This window comes from Homo sapiens, chromosome X, assembly GCF_000001405.40.
Source record: "Homo sapiens chromosome X, GRCh38.p14 Primary Assembly".
In the NCBI taxonomy this organism is placed as follows: domain Eukaryota; kingdom Metazoa; phylum Chordata; class Mammalia; order Primates; family Hominidae; genus Homo; species Homo sapiens.
The window spans coordinates 3,006,546-3,034,470 of NC_000023.11; the positions used below are offsets into that span (position 1 = coordinate 3,006,546).

Consider the following 27,925-nt stretch of genomic DNA (forward strand, 5'->3'; position numbering starts at 1 on the left):
TGCTTTCAGGAGCTGCTGGCTGTCAGTGTCCCTGTGCTGTTTGTTTTGCGGTGTTGATGGCACATTTATGACAAGAAACGCCAGACCCAACATTGTCCTGCTGATGGCAGATGACCTTGGAGTGGGGGATTTGTGCTGCTACGGTAATAACTCAGTGAGGTAAAGATGGACTCTGACCCCCTCCCTGTATGTGGGAGTCTCCCTTACCACAGTGTTCACGTCTTTGCCGTTGCAGAGAAGGGTTTCTGGAGAGAAGTCATTGTCTGATGTTATCGGCAGGAATAGCAGAGGTCACTGGGGAAAATTGCAAAATGTCAGGAGACCACTTAACCTCCCAGTTTCCTTAGATTCTAGCTGTTGGTGGTGGCGTTTTCATTGTTGGGCAAAATTTACATTTAAAAATTGGCCTTTTTTGATCAGGCATGGCGGCTCAAGCCTATAATCCCAGCACTTTGGAAGGCCAAGGTGGGAGCATTGCTTGAGCCCAGGAGTTTGCGATCAGCCTGGGCAACACAGGGAGACCCCGTCTCTACAAAAATAATAAAAAAAAAAATCTACTGGGACATGGTGGCGTGTGTCTGTGGTCTCAGCTACTCAGGAGGCTGGGGCAGGAGGATTGCCTGAGCAAGGGAGATTGAGGCTGCAGTGAGCTATGATCCCACCACTGCACTCCAGCCTGGGTGACAGAGGGAGACTCTGTTTAAAAAAAAAAAAAAAAATCACCTTTTAACCATTTTAAAGTGAACAATTCAGTGGCATTTGGTACATTCACAGTGTTGGACAACCGTCACCCCCACAAAGAAGACCCCCATTTCCCATCCTATCCCCATGCCCTGTTAACCACAAATGTACCCTCTGTCTCTATGGATGTGTCTCTTCTTAGAATTTCATATACAAGTAATCATATAAAGTATTTATTTTCTCAGGCTGCCGTGACAAAGGTCCACAGACTGGTTGGCTTAGATAACATCAGCTTATTCTCTCACAGTCCTGGAGGCTGGAAGTTCAAGATCAAAGTGTGGGCAGGGCTGGTTCCTCCTGAGGCCTCTCTCCTGTCCTTGTAGATGCCGTCTTCTCCCTGTGTCTTCACAGGGTCGTCCCTCTGTGTGGGTCTGTGTCCTCATCTCTTCTTCTTATGAGGTGTCTTAGTCTATTTCAGGCTGCTATAAAAGAATACCATAGACTGGGTGGCTTAGAAACAACAGACATTGATTCTCCCACAGTCCTGGAGGCTGGAAGTCTGAGATCAAGGTGTCTGCAGGGCTGGTTCCTCCTGAGGCCTCTCTCCTGGGCTTGGAGATGCCGTCTTCTCCCTGTGTCCTCACAGGGTCATCCCTCTGTGTGTGTCTGTGTCCTCATTTCCTCTTCTTATAAAGACCCCAGTCCTATTGGATAAGGGTCCACTTTAACGACCTCATGCTACCTTAATCACCTCTATAAAGACTCCATCTTCAAATACAGTCACATTCTGAGGTCCTGGGGGTTAGGACTTCAGCACAGGAATTTGGGAGGGACACAATTTAGCTCATAACATATGGTAAGTGGTGTTTGGTGACTGGCTTCTTTCACTTAGCGTGATGTTTTCAAGGTTCATTCATATTGTAGCATGCGTCAGCACTTCATTCCTTTCCATGGCTGAATACTTTTTCATTATATACATACACCACATTAGTCTACAGTTTTAAAAATATCTTCCTTGAATTACTTCTAAAGTCTCTGGTACCCGGGGCTCTTTATTTCTCTACTCTCTATCGATAGACCAATCTGGCTCTTGTAAAAATACATAGCATCTTTTAGTGTGGATTTAAATAACATTGTTTCTTCTTGGAATGCAGATCACAGTCTAGTCCTATATCTTAAGCATATATTTGTTGATTGAAAGGCATTGGTCTTCTTCTTCTTATTTTCTTTCTTTCTTTCTTTCTTTCTTTCTTTCTTTCTTTCTTTCTTTCTTTCTTTCTTTCTTTCTTCCCTTTTTCTTTTCCTTTCTTTCCTCTATCTCTTTTTTTTCCTTTTATTTTTAAGACAGGATCTCATTCTGTCATCCAGACTGGAGTGCAGTGGCATGATCTTGGCTCACTGCAGCCTTGACCTCCCAGGCTCAAGTGATCCTCCCTCCTCAGCCTCCTGAGTAGCTGGGACTATAGGCATGAGCCCCCACACCTGCCTAATTTTTGTGGTTTTTCTTTTGTTTTGTTTTTTTTTTGTTTTTTGTTTTTGTAGAGGTGGGGTTTTGCCATATTGCCCACCCTGGTCTGAGCTCAAGTGTTCAGCCCCTCTTGGCCTCCCAAAGTGCTGGGGTTACAGGCGTGAGCCATCACACTCAGCCTCCATTATCATCTTTCTGTGGGATTATGGAAAAAAAATGTTGTACCCATGGGATCAAGATTGGATATGGTTTAGCTTTTAGGAGAACAGGCACGTCTTTTTTTTAACCTATAAGTTTTACAAAATTTTTGCAATGTATTAGACAAACAAAATGGGAAATAAATTAAACTCCAAAATGTCACAATTTGGTCATAAAATAGGTCAATTTTACCGTAAGATATATATTAATGGGAGGCTGAAGTGGGAGGATCATTTGAAGCCAGGAGTTTGAGACCAGCCTGGGCAAAATAGCAAGACATGTATCTCTGCATAAAATTTTAAGGCCAGGTGTGGTGGATCACACCTGCAATCCCAGCAGTTTGGGAGGCTGGGGAAAGTGGATCACTTGAGGTCAGGAGTTCAAGACTAGCTTGGCCAACATGGTGACACCTCATCTCTACTAAAAATATACCACTGGGCGTGGTGGCTCATGCCTGTAATCCCAGCTAGTCAGGAGGCTGAGGCAGGAGGATCACTTGAATTGGGAGGCAGAGGTTGCAGTGAGCTGGGATCGCACCACTGTACTCCAGCCTGGGTAATAGAGTGAGACCACGTCTCAGAAAAAAAATTAAATTAAATACAAATTTAAATAAATTAGTAGGGCATGGTAGCGCACACCTGTGGACCTAGCTACTTGAGAGGCTGAGGTGGGAGGATCACTTGAGCCCAGGGAATTTAAGGTTGCAGTGAGCTATAACTGCACCACTACACTCCACCCTGGGCAACAGAGCAAGAGACTGTCTCTTAAAAAAATATGAAACACATTAAAATTTTACTTAATCTAAATTACCCATTAATTTTAGGTCCTTGATAAGAAGAAATTGGCTAATTTTTCCATTGAAATACATTTTTTTCTCAGACTCATAAAACTGTATACCGAGTGACCTGTATTCATTTGTAATAGTTTTGACTAAAGATATATTTTAAACTTATGTTTCCATTTGCTTCTAACCATCAATGCATATAAGGAAATAGACAGATTAAAGTTTTAAAAAGATGGATTTTAGGTTTACCAGAAATAGAGTCAACTTGACCCAAAATAGAATAGCTTTGATCCTTGATCATTGTATTGAGAATTTTTAGAAACTCACCTGCTGAATTCTTCTTTGGTCTGCAGCACACCTAATATTGACCGCCTGGCAAGTGAAGGAGTGAGGCTTACCCAGCATCTCGCAGCTGCTTCCATGTGCACCCCAAGTCGGGCTGCCTTCCTGACCGGCCGGTACCCCATCAGATCAGGTGAGGCAATAAAAAGGCAGCAACATTTCAGTCTCACCAGAATGCATTCTAATGATTAGTTTTTGCAAATCTTTATAAGAATTCTCAAAAGGTCACTCAGAGTATTAGGGATCTAAATTCAAAGGTGGTTGTTATCCCTGGGCAGCTTAAATATGTGTGCCTCTCACCAGGTACCACTGCACCTGCTCATCTCTGTGCATATAGCGACAGGGTTTAGGCCTCTTGGGGGCAATTTGCCAACTTATGGTCAACACTCCCATTTTCAGGTACTTGTGCTAAGATTTCTCAAGAGACCCCTGATGTCTTTAAGCTAGCAGAGACCATGCAGTGGTTCTGAGATAAGTGGATCAAATCCACCTCTGTGGATGAGATTGGAAAACTAGACACAGTTGGGAAAAAAGGTATAACTGAGAAAACAAAAAGGAAATGAAACTTTTACATACTCCCTTACTTGACCCCATCATTTCAAGATTTAGACTTACCAAGTTGATATAACGACAATTAAATGTGTTCCTTTGCTGCTTAGCTTAGGATCAATACCTACAAACATCCACTCAAGATCAATATTATGAACAACAATTTTTATACCCAGCTAAAATATAGTGGTGCCCTTAGACACTATTGAAGTGTTCATGGTTATCAGACTCTATGTGAAATATCGTGTCATGCTGTTGCATTTTGTTTAATTCTAGTATTTGCTTGTCATAATTTTAGTATACCTGCCTTCACAGTTTAATTTTTCAGTGAAAAATTTTTCTGTATGAATTTTCTTCCTCCTAAGTAGTAGATTCTCATCCAATACATTCAAGGAATGAACTAATTAGGTTAATGAGAATTATACTAAAATTAAGAGTAAACATTAAAAGTTTTTGTCCCATAAATATTGATTTATTATTATCTTTTTTTGTTGCCTAATGACCTTCTTTCATAATTCAAGGTTCTCCATTTTGTTCAAAATAGTTTGGTTTCTAGATAAGCAGTCTCTATATAACACAGTACCGTGTATGAAGAGGGATAAAGATATGAATTTGTATGAGTTTCCAAAAAAAACTACACTTATAATTTCAGGATTTCAGGATTTTTTCTTTTTTTCTTTCTTTCTTTTTTTTTTTTTTTGAGACAGACTCTTGCTCTGTCATCCAGGCTGGAGTGCAAGGGTCTGATCTCAGCTCACTGCAATCTCTGCCTCCCTGGTTCAAGTGATTCTCCTGCCTCAGTTCCTGAATAGCTGGGATTACAGTCATGCACCACCACACCCGGCTAATTTTTGTATTTTTAGTAGAGATGGGATTTCACCATGTTGGCCAGGCTGGTCTTGAATTCCTGGCCTCATGTGTGATCCACCTGCCTTGGCCACCCAAAGTGTTGGGATTACAGGAGTGAGCCACCATGCTCTGCCTAATTTCAGGGAATTTTAAGTATTGATTATGGTGAAATAAAATTTATTTTTAAAAATTAAGAAAAAAATTAGGTGATTGGTGGAGAGATTTCAAGTCATTGCCATGTGTATATTTTTAATCATTTGACACAAACGGTTCAGTTTAATTCATTCTACTTATCAAAAATTTCAGCAAAACAGTTCAACAGCAAGATAATGGTCTAATGCTTCCCTTAATAAAACTGTTTCTCTTTCCTATCAATGACACTATCTAGAGTCTACTTTCTTCTTCTTCCAAGGTAGGATCCTTGAAATATACTTTTTTCTTTTGAGATGGAGTTTCCTTCTTGTCACCCAGGCTGGAGTGCAATGGCATGATCTCAGCTCATTGCAACCTCTGCCTCCCAGGTTCAAGTGATTCTCCTGCCTCAGCCTCCTGAGTAGCTGGGATTACAGGTGCCTGCCACCAAGCCCAGCTAATTTTTGTATTTTTAGTAGAGACAGGGTTTCACCATATTAGCCAGGCCGGTCTCCTGATCTCAGGTGATCCAACCACTTTGGCCTCCCAAAACACTGGGATTACAGGCGTAAGCCACTGAGCCCGGCCTGAAATTATCATTTATTTATTTCTTGCTGATCTTCACTTGTGGTTTTCTTGTGAATTCCTTTTAAACTATAGGTGTATAATATTGTCCACCAGTATAAATCTACATAAAATTATATGGAGGCCAGGCACGGTGGCTCACATCTTTAATCCCAACACTTTGGGAGGCTGAGGTGGGTGGATCACGTGAGGTCAGGAGTTAGAGACCAGCCCGGCCAACATAGTGAAACCTCGTCTCTACTAAAAACACACACACAAAAAATAGCCAGGTGTGGTGGCACACATCTGTAATTCCAGCTAGGGAGGCGGAGGCACGAGAATTGCTTGAACCTGGGAGGCGGAGGTTGCAGTGAGCCGAGATGTTGACACTGCACTCCAGCCTGGGTGACAGAGTGAAACTCCATCTCAAAAAAAAAAAAAAAAAAAAAAAAAAAAATATATATATATATATATATATATATATATAATATATATATGTATGTGTATATACACACACACACATATGAAAAAGAAATTGTCACTCCTACACTTCTTCATTTCAGATTCTCAAGGATACTTTTAAAAATGTATTTATACCCAGCTAAAATGCAGTAGTGTCCTCAGATACTATTGAAACATTGAAGGTTAGCAGCCTCTATATGAAAAACTAACGAAGGTTATTTGTTGTTAGTCTGAAATTCAAATGGATATAACTAAGTGTCCCGTATTTATTCTGGCAACCCTAATTCCAAGGGAATGTTTGCATTTAGCAAGTGAAAAAAGGAGGGTCAAGGACGTACAGCCAGAAAGCAACAGAAAACTTGGGGAAGAATGGCTTTGAGGAGGTGCGGGAGGAGAGGACTTTAAGCATGTCGGGATAAATTCGGTATTAGCAAAGACTATGGTGCTAACTTATTGACTTCTGTGAATTTAGGGATGGTGTCTGCCTACAACCTGAACCGTGCCTTCACGTGGCTTGGTGGGTCAGGTGGTCTTCCCACCAATGAAACGACTTTTGCCAAGCTGCTGCAGCACCGTGGCTACCGCACGGGACTCATAGGTATGGCGCCGGAACTCTGCCCGTGGAAACGTGATCCTGCAGCCTCTCTGTCATCGTGTCTAAGGTGTTTCCGGGGATGTTGGCTTTGTGCGCGCCAGTTTGACCGACTTCTCTTTGAGATAAGACACTTGGAGAAGGAAATGATCACACATTGATTGAGCATGTGTAGAATCGAGGGCATAGTATTGGAAAAACAATGAGAACAGAAAGCAAACAAGTGTATCCAAAGTTGCCACTAAAATGGAATGTTGTGTTGGAGGGATACGATGTTTGTGACACCATTATTAGCAGAAAAACCAGTAAATTTGTAGAGAAGTACTGTTGAAATGGGAAACTTACAGCATTAAGAGTTGTCAAATGGAGGCAATTGCTGGTCGACTTAGATCACTTAATATTCTATGCCCTTTTGGCGGGGGTGGGGGTTTGGGGCGGGGGGACATGAGCTTGTGAGGGAGCCTTTCACCGAAAAATAAGTTTGTAGAATTCCAGTCCTAGAAGATAGTCCTCTAAGAATAACTTGTGTGATCAAATCCTTTTGGGAAATGCTACTCAAAAGCATTGTACGGTCCACTATTTTTGAGGATTCCTAATGTGAATTGTAAGCCACAGCTCCGAGATATCCCCAGTTAAAAAAAAGGTTAAGAAATTTTCTATCAGTAGGGCATGTATTCCCATGCAACTCCCAGCAGCGTCCTGTGAGTGGGAATTCTCTAGATTAGCTTTGAGCAGCGTTCTTACATCATTAGAGCACGGGATTCAGATCTGACTCTGCTATTATTCATTAATGTGACTCAGGCTTCTGAATAAATCTAGATAGCTGGGCACAGTGGCTCAGACCTGTAATCCCAGCACTTTGGGAGGCTGAGGCAGAAGAAGGCCAGGAGTTCAAGACCAGCCTAGGCCACCATAGCAAGACCCTGGATCTACAAAAATAAAATGTTAAAATTAGCTGGGCATGGTGGCACGCACCTATAGTCCCAGCTACTCAGGAGGCTGAGGCAGGAGAATTGCTTGAGCCAAGGAGTTCGAGGCTACAGTGAGCTATAATCATGCCACTGCGCTCCAGCCTGGGCAACAGAGCAAGACTCTGTCTCTTAAAAAAATAATCTAGACAATGTGTTTTTTATTCATAATAAAGGGTCTGGGAAGTGTTGAATATAATAATGTGTGCGGACAAATCAGAACGTGACCTGGCCCCCTAGAGTATGTGCTTGATAAAAGGAATTACTTGCATTATCAGAATCGTTTGGTTCTTGATGAAATTCTTTGGCTACTTTGTCATCCCTAGCTTGAGGACCTAGAAGAGGTGTTCCATCTATACATAAAATCTCGGTTACCTTTCAGTGAGATGGAATAAGAGGGTCGGAAGGCACTGCTAGATAAAAGCATGAATGTGCAAGGTGCACTGAAAGTCCTTGGTATTGTCCCCACCAAACAACCAAGACATCGATTCTGCCCTCCTAGCAAGCTCCAGATACCTGGAAAGTTTCTCATTGTTCATGAGGTTGTTTGGTACCAAGCAAAAGGTTTCTTCTGAATGAACACTAGGCTCCTCTCCTTGTCGCAAGCAAAGAGGCTCCTGCTGCATGGCTTTTGTCTGAAAGAGGCATATTGTAGGGAGAAGGCTGTTGGTGGCATGTCTATACCAGGGAGGTATTTGGGGATATCAAGAAAAAACCATGATGACAACAGAATGAAAGTTATATTTGACTTTTCCAAAGGGAAGCCCACATTCTAGAAACAGACCGGCATTGAATGCTGCCATGCTGCCATGGTACGATTTTATTTTACTTTTAGGCAAATGGCACCTGGGTTTGAGCTGCGCCTCTCGGAATGATCACTGTTACCACCCGCTCAACCATGGTTTTCACTACTTTTACGGGGTGCCTTTTGGACTTTTAAGCGACTGCCAGGCATCCAAGACACCAGAACTGCACCGCTGGCTCAGGATCAAACTGTGGATCTCCACGGTAGCCCTTGCCCTGGTTCCTTTTCTGCTTCTCATTCCCAAGTTCGCCCGCTGGTTCTCAGTGCCATGGAAGGTCATCTTTGTCTTTGCTCTCCTCGCCTTTCTGTTTTTCACTTCCTGGTACTCTAGTTATGGATTTACTCGACGTTGGAATTGCATCCTTATGAGGAACCATGAAATTATCCAGCAGCCAATGAAAGAGGAGAAAGTAGCTTCCCTCATGCTGAAGGAGGCACTTGCTTTCATTGAAAGGTATTTAGCCATTTCTTGCCTGATTTCCTGCATGGAAATTTTATTTTTATTTCATAGGAGGTCATCACACCTTGATAACATGGGCCTTTAAAAGTCTCTTGGAGAGAATGTGCGGCATTTGGCTTTCTGTTCCTGTATTAATTTGCTTAGAATAATGGCCTCCAGCTGCATCCATGTTGCTGCGAAAGACATGATCTCATTCTTTTTCATGGCTGTGTAGTATTTTGTGGGATATAATGGGAGCTAAACATTGAGCCTCCATGGACATAAACATGGAAACAATAGACTGCAAACTTCTAGAGGAGAGAGGGAGACAGGGAGACCAGGGGCACATGGTTGCAAGACTACCTATTGGGTGCTCTGCTTACCCCCTGAGTGCAATAGACCCACGTAACAAACTGGCACATGGAGACCCTGTATCGAAAATAAAAGCTGAGGAAAAAAAAACTTTAGGTGACATTTGTGATAGACTTGAGTCTCCTCTTAGGTAGAATTAAATAGTTAAATTTCCTGCAAATTTTGAATGCTCAAAAGGCAAAAAAACAAAAACCAAAACAAAAACAAAACATAAAAACATATTTTGCTCACCTCCCCATTTTTAATGTTTTAATTTTTTTTTTTTTTTTTTACTTTTTGGGACAGGATCTCACTCTGCCACCCAGGCTAGAGTGCAGTGGTGCAATCATGGCTCACAGCAGCCTCGACTTCCCAAGCTCAAGTGATCCTCCCACCTCAGCCTCCAGAGTAGCTGAGACTACAGGCACCTACAGGATGCCTGGCTAAATTTTGCATTTTTTTTTTAGAAATGGGGTTTTGTCATATTGCCCAGGCTGGTCTCAAGTTCCTGGGCTCAAGTGATTCACCCACTTTGGCCTCCCAAAGTACTGGGGATACACTACGCCTGGCCACTTACCCCTTTTTAAAAATGAAAACTAGAGTTGCCATATTTTAATCTATATTGCTTCAGTGTGGATTGTTATGTAAATTGATTAAACCTGGGGGGTAAAATTTTTTTTCTCTGTCTCAGACACAGCCGGAAGAGCTCTCTGTCCATAAACTATTGGATAGTGGCTCTGTATTTACAGATACCTAGTTTTAAGTTTTCTGTGTTCAACACAAGCTATGCAGGCATAACTATAATGAGCTCTCATCATCCCATACCAGCTCACTCCTACGTTACAAATTATTACTATTATTATTTGGAGACAGGGTCTCACTCTGTCACTCAGGCTGGAGTGCAGTGGTGCAATCATAGTTCACTGAAACCTCAAACTCCTGGGCACCAGTGATCCTCTCACCTTGGCCTCCTGAGTAGCTGGGACTACAGGTGCACATGACCACACCCAGTTAATTTTATAAAATTATTTTTCCATAGAGACAAGGTCTTGCTATGTTGCCCAGGCTGGTCTCGAACTCCTGGGTTCAAGCGATCCTCCTGCCTTGACCTCCCAAAATGCTGGGATTACAGGTGTGAGCCATTGTGCCCAGCCTGGGTTACAAATGAGGGGCACATTAAAGTTGTTGGTGTGGATTCTCATTGACACTGTTTGTCACCTTCCTTAGTGGGGTTGGCAGGGAGTGGAGAGGGGAGGATATATTGTTACTCCACCAGGCTGAAGGGTATGCAGTGGAATATCATTCACTCATATGCCCCTGTGCCCATCAGATTCATTATTTATTCCAACACAACCATGAGAACAGTGATCAGCCACCCACTCAGCTCTCCATTCATCTTACCTGCCCTTCCCGTCCCAACCCATTTGCTTGGGCTATCTTTTTGGGAATATATTCAATCTCCATCTCCTTCCCTTCTTTCTATGCTGGTTGTGAAAAATGTGTAAAGGAGTAGCTTTAGAATGACTGCATGTGACATTAAAATGCAAAACACAAGGTCAGGTGTGGTGGCTCATGTCTGTAATCCCAGCACTTTGGGAGGCTGAGGCAGGAGGATTGCTTCAGCCCAGGAGTTTGACACCAGACTGGGCAATATAGTGAGCTCCCATCTCTACAAAAAATGTACAAAATTAGCCAGGCTTGGTGGCGTGTACCTGTGGTCTCAGCTCCTTGGAAGGATAAGGTGGAAGAATCACTTGAGCCCAGGAGGTTGAGCCATGATTGCACCACTGCACTCCAGCCTGGGCAACAGAGTGAGACTTTGTCTCAAAATAAATAAATACATAAAATGCAGAACACAAAAAGCAAGATGTAAATGAGGGGAATTTATTTCTCTCTTGGGGTAGGCAGGCTACAGATACAGTGAGGTTATCTTGTTCTCTGCCATCCTTTGTGAGCAGCCTCATGGCCCAAGGTAGATGCCAAAGCTCCAGCCATCAGACTTATGTTCCAGGAACCATGAAGGAGGTGGAAGAAAGAAAGAAGGGAAAATGGAGAGTAAGGAGCATCAAATCCTTACTGTGGCACATCTGAGTCTGTCCTTAAGATATGATTCTTCTGAACTCATACCTAAAAGAACACTTTGAAACAATAGATGAGGAGAATTCATACTTTTTAACCCATTCAACAAAGATTAAAAGATTTATTAAGCTGCTACTTTATGTCAGATGCTAAACTGGACACAAGAGAGTATAAAATGAACTGCGTTAAACATTTTTGTTGTTGTTGTTAAGACAGGGTCTCACTGCGTTGCCCAGGCTGGAGTGCAGTGGTGTGATAATAGCTCACGGCAGCCTCCACCTCCCAGGCTCAAGCGAACCCCTTGCCTCAGCCTCCTGAGTAGCTGGGATCACAGGTGTGCCATTAAGCACAGCTATATTTTTGTATTTTCTGTAGAGACGAGGTCTTGCCATGTTGCCTGGGCTGGTCTCACACTCCTGGGCTCATGCAATGCTCCTGCCTCAGCCTCCCAAAGTGCAAAGAATATAGGCATGAGCCACTGTGCCTGGCTACATGAAACATTTTACTGGGAACACAAATGTTCTGTTATCCTTCATTCCTCCTCATATCCTTTCAACATAAATCTTGTGGTATTTACGACTCACAGGAGTGGTATTGTCATCTAAAGTACATAGAAAACCTCCGCCAGCTATTATGAGATCTTTTCATCAGTGCAGAATCGCATTTAAATGATGGAAATGACTTCATATTTGTGAAGGTAATTTTGGTAACTTTCTACCCCTTAGGTACAAAAGGGAACCTTTTCTCCTCTTTTTTTCCTTCCTGCACGTACATACTCCACTCATCTCCAAAAAGAAGTTTGTTGGGCGCAGTAAATATGGCAGGTATGGGGACAATGTAGAAGAAATGGATTGGATGGTGGGTAAGTATTCAGTAACAGAACTGTAAATATCTGAAGTACGGGCTACAGAAAAACAAATCTGTACTAACTGTCTCAAATTATGTCCAGCCCCTTGCATAGCATAGATACCTGAAAAGTATCTGTTTCATCCCTTAATTGGATTAAAAGCTGGCTTTTAATTGTTCAGCAATACCAGTGAAATATATTCCCCAAGATAAGTCACAGTTTGTAAATACAAGTTTTCCCATCTTTAAAATAAAGACAGCCACTTTTCTGAAAAACTCATTGGCAAGATAAAGAAAGCTGCACTGTAAAGTATATTGTAATTCCTGGCCGGGCACGCAGTGGCTCACACCTGTAATCCCAGCACTTTGAAAGGCCAAGGCTGGCAGATCACTTGAGGTCAGGAGTTCTAGACCAGCCTGGCCAACATGGTGAAACCCCATCTCTACTGAAAATACAAAAATTAGCCAGGCATGGTTATGCGGGCCTGTAGTCCCAGCTGCTCGGGAGGGTGAGGCAGGAGAATCACTTGGATCCAGGATGCAGAGGTTGCAGTCAGCCAAGATGAGACCACTGCACTCCAGCCTGAGTGACACAGCGAGATTCTGTTTCAAAAAAAAAAAAAAAAAAAAGAATATTGTAATTTCAATTCCCAATTATTTTGATGGATATAAAAGGGAACGTTATTCTGATTAGTCAGTTCTACAGGAAATACATAGAAAATTGGGATGGGGATTTAACACAACTAAAGCAACTTATTTCAAAGGCATAGTGTTCACTATAAAGAAATGCTAAGGATAATAAATGAGCAGGTGGGAAGAGTTACTGTATGCATTCCAGAATAATAAATAGCTGTGCTAGTTGAATTGCATTTGCCCACCCCCGCCTCTATGTACGTGACAGAGTTGTCCTTCCTCTCAGCGATGGTGTTTCATTTTGGAATACAGTACTTTTCTTCTTCTTCTGAGTGCAAACTTCTGAAAACGGTGCTCTGCCGAACCATTGAAACGAACAATCTCCCAGTTATCAGCCGCCTCTGTTGACTTATATGGAGTGCCTTTGAAAGAAACAGAGCTATTTTAATTTAAATGCATTTAAGGGGTGTTAATCAATCACATTTTATTATAAATAACTTTCTTTTCTCTGAAAACCACCATCTAAGTGAGCTATAAAATACTAGTTAAAATTACTGAAGAACTAGTGGTGTCGGATAGGACAAAGAGGGGAATCTTGTCATGGGATAAATTTCTCTTGTATATTTCCACTATGTGTGTTTACCTCTAATTATAGGTACCATTGTAACATTTACTGTCTATATTTAATCCCAAAGAGGAGATAGAATACAGAGAGGGGCCAGGCGTGGTGGCTCATGTCTGTAGCCCCAGCACTTTTGGAGGTTCAGGCGGGAGGATCACTTGATCCCATGAGTTTGAGACCAGCCTGGGCAACATACCAAGGCTCCATCTCTACAAAAAAATACAAACATTAGCCAGGCATGGTGTCACACGCACGCCTTGTAGTTCCAGCTACCTAGGAGGCTGAGGTGGGTGGATCACTTGAACCTGGGAGGTGGGGGTAGCAGTGAGCCGAGATTGCACCACTGTACTCCAAGACCCCGTCTCAAAAAAAAAAAAAAAAAAAAAAAAAAAAAAAGAGGCCGAGTGCGGTGGCTCACGCCTGTAATCCCAGCACTTTGGGAGGCCGAGGCGGGCGGATCACAAAGTCAGGAGATCGAGACCATCCTGGCTAACACGGTGAAACCCCGTCTCTACTAAAAATAGAAAAAATGAGCCGGGCGCGGTGGCGGGCGCCTGTAGTCCCAGCTACTCCGGAGGCTGAGGCAGGAGAATGGCGTGAACCTGGGAGGCGGAGCTTGCAGTGAGCCGAGATTGTGCCACTGCACTCCAGCCTGGGCGACAGAGCCAGACTCAGTCTCAAAAAAAAAAAAAAAAAAAAAAAGAATACAAGGAAAGTCAGTGCTGCCAGGCTGCCAGTAAGGCATTTAAGCAGAAATGGGGAGAAAAAAGGAATGTGTTAAAGGGAAAAACTTATGGGCTTAGTTAAAGGGAACTAACCCTGACATCCAAACCCTTTTGAAGCTTGCTGAACTAAAGCTAAGCTCTGTATTTCTTAATTTAATCTTTGCTGTGGGATGTGTATGTGTGTGTATATATATACACACCCAGCTGCAGTTATTTTATTTGCACGGTATAAATTACAAATCACTTTTATGCATAATACTATAGTCAGATTTAATATGAATTAAGCTATATACACACACACACCATATGTTATATACATATATATATACACACACCCCATATGGTTTATATGTATACACAAGTTATGTTTTATACATATACACACATAGCACTGTATGTTGCATATATACACATTTATTATATATAGTTTAATTCCTTGGTAACGAAATACAAACACTGAAAGGTGTTACAGTTAAAAATAGCTATAACACTGTAGCCTTTATGGAATTATATAATTGGGATTTTTTTTTTTTCTCTGCTTCTTTTGAAATCGCTTACTATAGTTGTACTTAGTCAAAGGACAGTTTCCCGTAAAGGGATTTTCTGTTAAAGTCTATATCTGAGTGTTTATCACTAAGAAATAATTATGTTTGTTTTACAGTATATGTAAATACATGATGAAGACGTGTTACAAAAGCTAGCAATTGCATTATTAAATGGCTAATATTATTTGACACAGGAGAAATGATGAGTAGCTATTTTTCTGCGTAACATCTCCCAAATATTCTGAGTTTTCTCCGTCATTTCTTATAAAAATTCTACCAAAATAAAGACATATTGAAAGTCAGACAGGTATCTCTGTGGGTATTATTTTACTATTTAACAATATGAGTATAAAACTCAAAGGTTTAGTAACTTATTAACTTTACTCAAAAATAAGCCATAACAATGCTATACTCATGCAAATGCAAATACAACGTGCAAAATGAACTTAATGAATCTTCGGGAATTCAGTAACATTTTAAACTTTCCAATGAAAGAAACTTGTGCCTATTAAAAAACACTTTTAGTCCTTTTTTTTTTTTTTTTTAAGACACAGGGTCTCACTCTTTTGCCCAGTCTGGCTGGAATGCAGTGGTGCGATCACAGCTCACCACACACTTGACCTCCTCGGCTCAGGTGATCCTCCCACCTCAGCCTCGTGAGTAGCTGGGACTAAAAATGTGCACCACCATGTCTGGCCAATTTGTGTGTGTGTGTGTGTGTGTGTGTGTGTGTCTCTGTGTGTTTTGTAGTGGAGTTTTGCCATCTTGCCCAGGCTGGTCTCGAACTCTTGGGCTCAAGCAAACTTCCCACCTCGGCCTCCCAAAGTCCTGGGATTACATGTGTGAGCCACCAGGCCCAACCTTAATCACTTTTCATTATTGGTTTCTTTCCAGGTGTCTTTGGTAGGAGGTCTTATAAGTGACCTATTACCATTAGTATTTATATATTCATATGCATCTGTGTGTTTTCACTTTAGACACTATACAGACAATTATTTGCAAATATATTTGTTCTGGAACAGAAAAAGAATTTGCAGCTACTATATTTGCACAGTATAAATTACAAATCACTTTTATGATTTTTTTATACTATAGCCAGATCTAATGTGAATTGATAATTTACATATAATTATGCTGTTCCCAGAAAGCCTTTACAATCTTTCATCTTACAAACCCTGGGCTTTAAAATATCTTAATTTCTAATTATAGCATTTCTAAAAAATAGTATATGTCACTTCTAAAACAAATCACTGAGTTTACGTATAAACAGTTTTCTGTGCAGCTAGTTAAGCTAGTTACATTTTCTTTTATCTTTGAATGGGACAAGAGCATAGCACAGAGATGATCTAGTGTAAACTAGAAATGCAGTGTGACCTCAGGCCCAGGACGATGTTATCTGTTGATTAGCAAATGCTCAACAGACATCAGAAAGGAAATGAATGTTGTTTGGAATTTTGCTAGAACAGCTTTCTACTTATTATTTTAAAAAACTGTCCTCCTGAGGGATTGTCAACACATTAAAGACAGTGTCTGCTGAGTCTAGCGCAGCATTAATTGTCATTAGATCTTAACCATAACCCAAACAGCAAGAATAACCTGCAATTTCCATGTAGACTTCAGATAGCAGCCAGGACAGCAAGTCTCTAAGGGAGGTGGTGCTGTGCCCTGGAGTACGGGGATGGCTTTGCTCATATGTTCCTGGAGGTGTCATTTTGCAAACTGTATTTTTTTAAATTAATGTTCATCGGTTTATTTAACTGCTGGGCCTTCTTGGCACTGTCTATTTGAATCGTTTGGGGCAATGATGACCTTATGTATTATTACACGATTTGTATAATAAAATAGATTTTATTATATATTCAATAATAAAATAATGAACACATTATACAATAAAATTGTATAATAAACCAGTACTTTATATATTGTATATGAACTATTCTACATTTTAAATTAATATAATTAATGTATCTAGTATATTTAATATAATTTATATAATTACATTAATATAATAAAATTAATTAAAGTAATATGTGACACATATCATTCAATTATATAAAATAATATAGTATATATTTATATAAAGATATAAATTTATGATAAAATTTAATATATTAATTAGACATATATTATAAAATTTAATATGTTCATTATATATTATACATTTATTACATATACTCATATTTTATCTTATAGTTAATATATTTTCCTATGTCAATAAACATATATTTTTACATATTGCATTGATATACAAAATACTATATAATAAAATAATAGTTACATGTTATTATATAATTACATAACAATTTTTACACAATGATAAACTATTATATAATGATATGTTTCTAGTATTGTAAAGTCATATGGTATAATAATACATAGTATGTATTGATTGTACATATTACAATATATTTTGTTCTATTCCATAATTGATTATATTTTAATATATAACAATTCTTTATGCATTTTTAATACATCATGTTATATATTAATATGTATTTGTAAGAAATATGTACTATATATCATACAATATATAATAAATATATAATTAGTAATTCAAATGTATAAAAGTATGTATTATAGTAAATATAGCATATATTATACATTATTACATTATATATTAAATATTTTAACTGCTGGATATAATATATATTATATACACTATATTACGTACAGTTTAAAATAGTATGTATTACAATATTATATGATTAATTATACAATATCGTGTAGTGCAGAATAACATTGAAACGCTATGTGTAATAAATACATAGTAGCAGATATGTAATAAAGCAGTGGTGATCTGCATCAAGAGGTCAACGTCTTTGTGTCTCTGACCCTCTCCAGGTAAAATCCTGGATGCCCTGGACCAGGAGCGCCTGGCCAACCACACCTTGGTGTACTTCACCTCTGACAACGGGGGCCACCTGGAGCCCCTGGACGGGGCTGTTCAGCTGGGTGGCTGGAACGGGATCTACAAAGGTGATTGTGTGTAGAGAACCAACGCCTGTCCATTTTAAATCAGTAGTCTCTATTGGCTTTGTGTTTGCTTGAATTCATTTGCCATGATGTTCAGATATTTTGATGTGAGTTAGACTCTTATTAAGCTAGACCGAAAAAAAAAAAAAGCTGCAAATTTTGGGGCAGTTTCCAAGAGCTTCAAAGTAAAATGTTTGAAGCAACGCCAACCCCAGGAGACAGCACAGCATCTCAATGACCATCTGTGGCAGATGTCCCAGCCTCCGCACGATTGACATTTGAGGCTGGAGGATTCTCTGGCTGGGGGCATCCTGTGCCGTTGTAGGTGTTGAACAGCGTCTGTGGGCTCCACCCACACATGCCAGTAGCACCCACCGCAGAGCAGCAACAACCAGAAATGTCTCCTGATATTGCCCAGTGTCCCCTGGGGACAAGGTCATTTCTAAGTGAGAAGTGCTCCTTTAGATTAATCCTCACTTGGATTCTCAGATGCAGGTTTTTAATTCAATCACACCAATGATGCTATTCATTATGCTTTAACTAGTGTTATGTGGATCAGAAAAAAGAGTTTTTCATTTGACTGGGGTGCCTAGCTCCTCATGGCCAGCAGATTCTTCCAGCTCACTTTGATAGACTTCATGCCGGGTTGTTCAAGAACTCCATGGCACCCACTCTTAGGCATCACCAAAGGCATGCCAACAGAAAGAATAATTTAAAAAAGAATTCTGCATTCGCTATTTTCCCCCTACCCGCTAACCTTCCAAGTAAAACAAAAAAACTAAAAGGGTATCAAAATCGTCATCATTATAAAATCAGAATGTTTGAACTTCCTTATATTTCATTAAAAAGTTCTGTGTGTGTGTGTCTTATATATGTATTTTCCTGGAGGTATAATCACTATGTATATAAATTCACCGTATTAATTGTATGTAATATAATATAGAATCATATATATTCATCATATGTGATATATAATCCTATATATAGTCACTATGTATATATAGTTACTATATTCATTACACATAACACATATAATCCTATATATATTCGCTATATTCATTATATATAATACATGTAATTTTACATATTTACTACATATAATATACATAATCCTGTACACATTCACTATGTATATATAGTCATTATATTCATTATATATACACACATAATTCTATATATTTACTATATTTATTGTATAGATCATTATATATAATTTTATATATTCAGTATATATAATATAATATATAATACTATATATATTTACTATGTCTATAGTCACATATTAATTATATATAGTATATAGAATTCTATATATTCACTGTATAGAGTATACATAACCCTACACATATTCACTATATGTACTCACTATATTCATTATATATTACACATAATCCTATATATATATTCACTATATTCATTGTATATATATAGGATTGTGGATACTGGATTATATATTGTAAATTAATAGAAGTGAGCTCCTGAAAGCATTCACCTCCTCTGGCTTGTCATGTGGACTTGCTGTAGTCATAACTGTTAATTAGCAAAGACTAAATTGGTGCTAAACCTAGTAGAAAAAGTGAGGAACAGATCTGAGTCACCATATATATGCCATCTAACGAAGTGTGATTATTACAGTCATGATGATTCTAACAACTGTACCTATTATATATTATAATAATTATTATAATTGCATGAGTATGTGTGAGTGTAAAGCCCCTGTCCTTAAAAAGCACACATAACCCTGGAATAGGACTGGCAAAATTGTTGTGAGCATTTCTCAGGCTTTGGGACAGGATGCCTGTTTCTCAGGGTGCTTCCTGTGAAGCGATGAATTCAATGGATAGAGAGATTTAGATCTCCTGGGTAAGCAATGGGTTTTGTTCTAGTCTAGTTACACCTCGCAGCTCTGCCCCACAAAGATACAGGTTATTAAATACGATGAAGAAAACATCAGGATGGCTTTATGATTGTATGTTAAAAGCACATAGATTTGGTTCAGTGAGCTTGTCGAGTTTTTCTTATAATAAAGAATGGTGCTACTTGGGAGGCTCAGGAGGGAGGCTCGCTTGAGCCCAGGAGTTGGAAGCTGCAGTGAGCTATGATTGCGCCACTGCACTCCAGTCTGGGTGACAGAAGGAGACAGTGTCTTAATTAAAAAAAATAAAAATAAAAAAAGAATGGTGCCAAGAAGCTGAGCTGCCTTTCAACACTGGTTAGACTGGTTAGATCAGTGAATGTGTCAGCAGTGAATTTTACCTCATTTTCTGCTAGAGGCTTCCGGTTTTGTGTTTCTTTGTAATGCTGCCTGTCAGACAGGTGCGCACGTAGAAGACATTCAATGAAAATTTCACATAGGAAGAGACCTTTTCCTCCAGAGAGGTTCCTATTTTTTCTTAAAGAGTCTAGACATATGGTCTTGACACTGGCATTTGGCATAGGGCCATTTTTCTATTCTGTAACAACCGCCTCAGTCTCATGATTGATCTTACGGCAAGGGCTTCATTTTTGTTTTGTGCTCAGAAACACCCAAGGGGACTTTTGTCTAAGAAGTGATTCTCAACTCTGCCTCTGGCCATTTTTCTACTCACACTCCTCTCTTTCTTCCTCTATATGGGAAATCACGGGGTAAAGTTTTTTAGCTTGTTCCTCAAGGATCATTATAATGTGGATAAAACCTGTATTTTTCTTTTCTTTTTCTTTTTCTTTTTTATTTTTTGGAGACAGAGTCTCACCCTGTCACCGAGGCTGGAGTGCAGTGGCACAATCTCAGCTCACTGCAATCTCCACTTCCTCGTCTCTGATCCCCCGACTTCAGCCTCCCGAGTAGGTGGGACTACAGGCATGCACCACCATGGAGTGCAGTGGCGTGATCTCGGCTCACCACAACCTTCGCCTCCTGGGTTTAAGCGATTCTCCTGCCTCAGCCTCCCACGTAGCTTGGATTACAGGCGCCCACCACCATGCCCAGCTAATGGTTTTGTATTTTTAGCAGAGACGGGGTTTCACCATGTTGGCCAGGCTGGTCTTGAACTCCTGACCTCAAGTGATCCGCCCACCTCGGCCCCCCAAAGTGCTGGGATTACAGGCGTGAGCCACCGTGCCCGGCCAATATGGTTGGGTTTTAACTCATCTTTGGTTGTGTCGTAATCTTTGGTTTTAGGTGGCAAAGGAATGGGAGGATGGGAAGGAGGTATCCGTGTGCCAGGGATATTCCGGTGGCCGTCAGTCTTGGAGGCTGGGAGAGTGATCAATGAGCCCACCAGCTTAATGGACATCTATCCGACGCTGTCTTATATAGGCGGAGGGATCTTGTCCCAGGACAGGTATGGAAACAGTGTTTGCTCCTAACCTAGGGTGATATATTTGAACATAAGTGGATATACTTGATAATTCTATGTGTGTGTGTATGTACATAGTATATTACTTAATTATCAATATTCTGCCCATAGGGCCAGATGTCTTTCTCCCCTTGGTGCGTGGTGGAATATTTTGTTTTCTTCTTAGAGTATACCTTAATATCCTTTGTCATATTACACTTATGCCTGTGTGTGTTTGACTGTTCTCATGGATGGGATCTGATTCTCATACATCATCACATCCCTCACAGCTTCTAGACCATTATGCAATTAAGTGTTAAATGATTACTGAATAAAAACATGTATGCCTAGAGCAGGTGCGGTGGCTCGTGCCTGTAATCCTAGCACTTTGGGAGGTCAAGGCTGGCGGATCACTTGAAGTCAGGAGTTCGAGACCAGCCTGGCCAACATGGTGAAACCCCCATCTCTACTAAAAATACAAAAATCAGTCTGGTGTGGTGGCACGTGCCTGTAATCCCAGCTACCTGGGAGGCTGAGGTGGGAGGATCGCTTGAACCCAGGAGGTAGAGATTGCAGTGAGCCGAGATCTCGTCACTGCACTCCAGCCTGGGTGACAGGGTGATGCCCTGTTTCAAACAAAAACAAAAACGAAAACAAAACACGTATGTGTAATTGCATGTGTGCTAAATGATATTATTCTTTCTGGTTTGCACTTTGTCTATGAGCTTATTTTTAATTTAATTTAAATTTATTTTTTTTGAGACAGAGTCTCGTCCTGTCAGCCAGGCTGGAATGCAGTGGTGTGATCTCGGCTCAGTGCAATCTCTGCGTCCCGGGTTCAAGTGATTCTTCTGCCTCAGCCTCCTGAGTAGCTGGGACTACAGGCGGGCGCCACCATGCTCAGCTAATTTTTGTATTTTTAGTAGAGATGGGGTTTCAGCATGTTGGCCAGGATGGTCTCGATCTCTTGACCTCGTGATCCACCCACCTCGGCCTCCCAAAGTGCTGGGATTACAGGCACGAGCCACCAGGCCTGGCTTTGTCTATGAGCTTTAAAATGAACAAATACATCCTGTGCTTTAACGATTTAATTCCATGTATGTGGGGTGATATCTATTCATTAAATGTGAAGTTTTATTGGAATCAAAAGGGCGTAAATAGCTTAATTTTTCCAATCCACAACAGTAACTCATATTGTCTTGCAAGGTATCAGGATAATAGTTCTAGCTGTTCTCTTCTTCCATGACCTCAGAAAATGAATGTTTTGTTTCTCTTTCTTTTTGTTATAAAATGAGGGAAAAGGAGAAAGTTTTAAGAATTCCTTCTTCCGCCAGGCGCCGTGGCTCACGCCTGTAATCCTAGCACTTTGGGAGGCCGAGGCAGGCGGATCATGAGGTCAGGAGTTCGAGACCAGCCTGGCCAACATGGTGAAACCCCGTCTGTACTAAAAATACAAAAATTAGCAGGGCATGGTGGCGTGTGCCTGTAATCCCAGCTACTTGGGAAGCTGAGGCAGGAGAATTGCTTGAACCCGGGAGGCGGAGGTTGCAGTGAGCAGAGATCGCACCATTGCACTCCAGCCTGGGTGACAGAGCAAGACTCCATTTCAAAAAAAAAAAAAAAGAAAAAAGAAATTCTTCCTCTTTATCTTTCGCCTCCTTCTCTTCCTCCCCTTCCTTTTCCTCCTCCTCCTCCTCCTCCTCTTTCTTCTGCTATAAAATGCGTGACTGAACCATGCCTCTCTCATCACCTTCTACACACCCCCTTCTCTCCCAAGAGTGATTGACGGCCAGAACCTAATGCCCCTGCTGGAAGGAAGGGCGTCCCACTCCGACCACGAGTTCCTCTTCCACTACTGTGGGGTCTATCTGCACACGGTCAGGTGGCATCAGAAGGACTGTAAGTATGAAGGCTGTGGACACGTGGAAAGACGATAAGGGCCCGGTTCCGGTCTCCTTCGTCTCCTGGCGGAAGCTGCACCATGTGCAGATATTGCCCAGCTATGATGGTTCTTTTTCGCTGAGAAAGCCACATAAACAGTGCACTGCAGTAGGATTTTATTTTATTTTATTTTATTTTGAGATAGGGTCTCACTCTGTCACCCAGGTTGGAGTACAGTGGCGCAATCTCGGCTCACCACAACCTCCACCTCCCAGGTTCAAGTGAGTCTCCTGCCTCAGCCTCCTGAGTAACTGGGACTACAGGCACCTACCACCATGACTAGTTAATTTTTGTATTTTTAGTAGAGATGGGGTTTCACCATGTTGGCCAGGCTGGTCTCGAACTCCTGACCTCAGGCGATCTGCCCACCTCAGCCTCCCAAAGTGCTGGGATTACAGGCGTGAGCCACCGTGCCTGGCCTGCAGTAGGATTTTAGAGAGATGTGTTTGTGAGAGAGATTTGTGCCCAAAGGGTTTTATTTTAAATTTTTAAAATATTTATAAAATAGAGACAAGATCTTACTATGTGGCCCAGGCTGGTCTCGAACTGCTGAGCTCAAGTGATCCTCTCTCTTTGGCCTCCCACAGGTGTGACCCACCACAGCCGATCCACTCAAAGCATTTTAACTTAGGGAGGTGAGTGCTGACACAGACAAACCAATGCCATTGCAATATTTTCATGACTTAGATTTCCCGAGAGAAGGGGATATGCCCTACCACACAGGTTCACGGTGGGAAGCACCAGGGCTTGGCTTGGAAGCAGAGGCAGGAAGGAATGAGGAGCCCAAGCAACAGCCTTTATTATTAGGCTTTCCAAGGGAAAGGTCAGGCAGGGCAGGGTGAACAGCTTCACACTGGTAGTTTGAGTAATTACAGTAAGTTTGGAGCAACAGAGACTGCCCCTAGCTGCCTGGTACCCGGTGCTGGGTTGATTTAGGACAGAGAAAATATCAGCTTACTGTGTGAGAGTTAGATAAAGGAGGTGGATGCTTGCATAGGTAGGGTGTGTTCCTAAGTGAGTTGTTACTATTTGTATTAGTCCATTCTCACGTTGCTAATAAAGACATACTCAAGACTGGGTAATTTATAAAGGAAAAAGTGGTTTAATGGACTCACAGTTCCACATGGCTGGGGAGGCCTCACAATCATGGTGGAAGGCACATCTTACATGGTGGAAAGCAAGAGAGAATGAGAGCCAAGCGAAAAGGGAAATGCCTTATAAAACCATCAGATCTCGTGAGACTTATTCCTTACCATGGGAACAGTATGGCAGAAACTGCCCCCATATTCAATTATCTCCACTTGGCTCTGCCCTTGACATATGGGGATTATTACAACTCAAGGTGAGATTAGGGTGGGGACAGAGCCAAACCATATCGCTATTTTTAGGAATCAGCTAGTCCTGGGAGGAGCAGTCTTTCCCCAAGTCTATGAGGCCCCTCAAGCTGTCAAAATACTAGCCTGGCACAGTGGCTCACAGTTGTAATCTCAGCACTTCAGGAGGCCAAGGTAGGAGGATTATTTGAGCCCAGGAGTTTGATATCAGCCTGGGCAACATTGCAAGACCCTGTCCCTACAAAGAAAAAAAAAAGAATTAGCCAGGTATGGTGGCATACAACTGTAGTCCAGCTACTCAGGAGGCTGAGTGGGAAGTTTGAGGCTGCAGTTGGCAATGATCGTGCCACTGTACTCCAGCCTGGGCAACAAAGTGAGACACTGTCTCAAAAAAAAAAAAAAGTCAAAACATTATAGGATACAGAAAATTAAGACAACATGATTAATGTGTGTGTGTAAGTATGCATTAGCTTGTGTGAATGTATACATGAGAGAGAGAACAAGAGAGAAAGAGAGACTATGAATACCCACAGCTTAGGGATGACTGAAGTAATTATTCTAGCAACGAGGAGTAAATTCTTCAACATGACCTGCCGGGTGGTTGCTTATCTCCACCTTCCTTCCTTTCTAACATCCTAGTGATTGTTTCTGTCCCACATTCGTGCTATGGAAGTCATGCAAACAAATATAAATTAACAAATAGCATCGTTTGCCTTAGACCTGTAAAGAAAGGTCTTTTGGAGTCATTGCATGAAATTCCAGAATTCTTACTTGGTTGGATTTAACTTTATTTGCAGGAGGAATTTTCTCTGATGGGATCAGTCACTTGTGGTGTGATGTATCTTCATTTTGATGTGGATAGTCCCACATAAAACAATTAAAAAAACAAAAATAAGTAAATAAAAATCTATGTTTTTAAGATTCTATATGAGTGCAGGACATGATCAATGATAAATAAAACAGCCCCGTAAACAGCACAAGCCTCCCAAATTTAACTATAGAGGATTATACAGTAGAATTTTTTGTTATTATTTTTTCTCATCATAATTTCAGAAGTTGGGAGCATGGGGCTGACACAGTGCTCAGTGCCACGGTCATGGGACCAGGGTTCTTTTTTTCTACTTGGCCACCTCTGACATGCTAGCTTTCATTCTTGTGCATCTCACCTCATGGTTGCAAAGTGGCTGCAGTTCCTCCAAGCATCACACCTGCACTCCATGCAGTAAGGAGGGAAAAAACCAAAGGCGGTAAAGAATCCAGTTAGATGATTTGATCCTATTTTAGTAGGAAAGCACAGCTTCTCTGCAAGACCCCACCAGTAGACTTCGGTATAATCCTCATTTACCAGAGGCTGGGGAATGCTTATATTTTCTATCTAAAATTGATCTCTGCAGCCAGGCATGGTGGCACATGCCTGTAAATCCAGCTACTCGGGAGGCTGAGGTGGGAGAATCACTTGAACCCAGGAGGCAGAGGTTGCAGTGAGCTGAGATGTTGCCACTGCACTCCAGCCTGGGCGACAGAGTGAGACCCTGCCTCAAAATAAATAAATAAGTAAATAATAAAAAATGAAAAATAAAATTGATCTCTGAAAATAGATTTGGTAACCATTTCATATCAGAAGAAAGAAGAAAGGAAGGGAGGGAGGGAGGAAGGAAAGGAAGGAAGGAAAGGAAGGAAGGAAGGAAGGGGAAGGGAAGGGAAGGAAGGGAAGTAAAGGAAGGAGGAAAGGAGGGAGCGAGGGAGGGAGAGAAGGAAGGAGGGAAAGAAAGAAAAGAAGAAAACAGAAATGGAGGAAAAAAGGAAGGAAAGAAGAGAGTGAGAAAGAGGGAGGGAGGAAGGGAAGAGGAGGGAGGGAGAGACAGAAGAGGGAGGGAGAAAAGGATAAAGAATGATTAACTTTGCCAAATTACTTTTGTCAATTTCAGATGTGAAAGTGGCATTTAGCCTTGGATCATTTTTAATTTTGTTTGTACCTAATCAGATTGAGGTAGAATTTTAATTTGGTATTCCCAGAATTACCCTATTCCCATCTGGGTCATCATTATTATCTCCAAATATTCTCATGACAAGATTTCTAAAAATGTCTGCAAGTTTGCAGTGAAATTGTGCATTGTTCTTAGAGTTGAAGAAATGCTACTGTTGCTGTGTAATGCTGTGCAGAAGAGTATTATCAATCACTAGAAAAAGCTTTTGAGAAAAACATCTTTAACGAAAAGAGTCCTAAAATCACCACAAAGATGGTATCATACATAATGCAACTTGTTTTTTAGGTGCAACTGTGTGGAAAGCTCATTATGTGACTCCTAAATTCTACCCTGAAGGAACAGGTGCCTGCTATGGGAGTGGAATATGTTCATGTTCGGGGGATGTAACCTACCACGACCCACCACTCCTCTTTGACATCTCAAGAGACCCTTCAGAAGCCCTTCCACTGAACCCTGACAATGAGCCATTATTTGACTCCGTGATCAAAAAGATGGAGGCAGCCATAAGAGAGCATCGTAGGACACTAACACCTGTCCCACAGCAGTTCTCTGTGTTCAACACAATTTGGAAACCATGGCTGCAGCCTTGCTGTGGGACCTTCCCCTTCTGTGGGTGTGACAAGGAAGATGACATCCTTCCCATGGCTCCCTGAGACCATGCGGACCACGTGTTACCCACCACAAACTTACTGTTACAATGGTCATAGGAGCAGAGCTCACCTGACTGATTCATTCCATTTGGGATAAAAACTGATGGCCCAACCCATTGTTTTATCCTCAGAAATCAGTTCTTTCAAGAGCTCGGTGAAATTAAAGTGGGCCCATATAACAGTGAACCTGGAGGGGAGCATTTGTTGTATAATTTTTTTCTAGTATATAATTGTGCCATTGCCCAAGGAAAAGAGCAAATCAAGGTGACTTCAGCAGATTCTTGTAGAGCTTTTGTTCCTAGAATTCATGGAAGCATCAGGTCCAATGTCATAAGTTAGAAACTTCTGCTTGCAGATTCTATACCCAGGCATGCTAGCTTTCTAATAAATCATGATAAGTACTTAATTTTTTCATGAAGCAGAGGGTCACATAAAACTTGAAGTAGTGCTGTTATAGTCAGTTTGACTTCTTGATTTTCTCTCTTTCCTTCTTTTCTCTTCCTGTCCGATACGCATCTGGTTATGAGAAAAAATGCTGGGCTGAAGTTCTTGACTTTGCTTCCTCGTAGCTATATCATCGTGGAAATGTCTCTGTGATTTGGTTTCTTCATGTGTAAAATAAGGAAAACCAGTGTCTACTTCACAGAGTAGCTATGAGGATTACATGCATTAATTAATGTGAAATTGCCTTGTGTAGAATAAGCAGTCAATAAATGTTATTATTACAAATGTTGTTGTAAGCATCATCAATTGCAGTTAATCATGATTCCTTAAACACAAAATAAGAAAAATGGCAAAGAAGAGTCAACATTTAAGAAAAAATAAAGAAACATGGCTAAAACAATTATTTAATTGAAGAAAGGCATTTGGCAATACACATAGGAAGTAATTCAAAGCAGGATAAACAAACATAAATCCAAAATTTGAAGCATTTGTGACTGCAGACTACAAAAGACAAAGAAAAGATCTACAGATGGATGCAGGGCAGGTGAGCCCCAAATTGGGGCTTAGCCTGGGAGGGTTCTTGGCTTCCCTCAGGAAATAATTCAAGAGTAAGCCAGTGGTGGAAGCAACAGCTTTATGGAGAA

At 41.0% G+C, this 27,925-nt stretch overlaps 1 protein-coding gene across 1 annotated transcript; it reads left to right on the forward strand.

Annotated features, from left to right (window-relative positions):
- ARSH (arylsulfatase family member H) lies at positions 1-27,566 on the forward strand. Its single transcript, NM_001011719.2, has 9 exons — positions 1-159; positions 3,485-3,606; positions 6,502-6,627; positions 8,425-8,848; positions 11,989-12,125; positions 17,476-17,610; positions 20,768-20,930; positions 22,702-22,823; positions 26,473-27,566. Exons 1-9 carry the CDS (start codon positions 68-70, stop codon positions 26,838-26,840), a joined length of 1,689 nt encoding a protein of 562 aa, NP_001011719.1. The 5' UTR covers positions 1-67; the 3' UTR covers positions 26,841-27,566.
- Positions 27,567-27,925: the final 359 nt, after the last annotated feature.

Bases quoted from the DNA above. Each gene is read 5' to 3' on its own strand.
- ARSH (NM_001011719.2), top strand. From the start codon at position 68: ATGACAAGAAACGCCAGACCCAACATTGTCCTGCTGATGGCAGATGAC. The intron at 3,607-6,501 runs GTGAGGCAATAA...CTGTGAATTTAG, and splicing joins CCGGTACCCCATCAGATCAG to GGATGGTGTCTGCCTACAAC. The intron at 17,611-20,767 runs GTGATTGTGTGT...CTTTGGTTTTAG, and splicing joins CTGGAACGGGATCTACAAAG to GTGGCAAAGGAATGGGAGGA.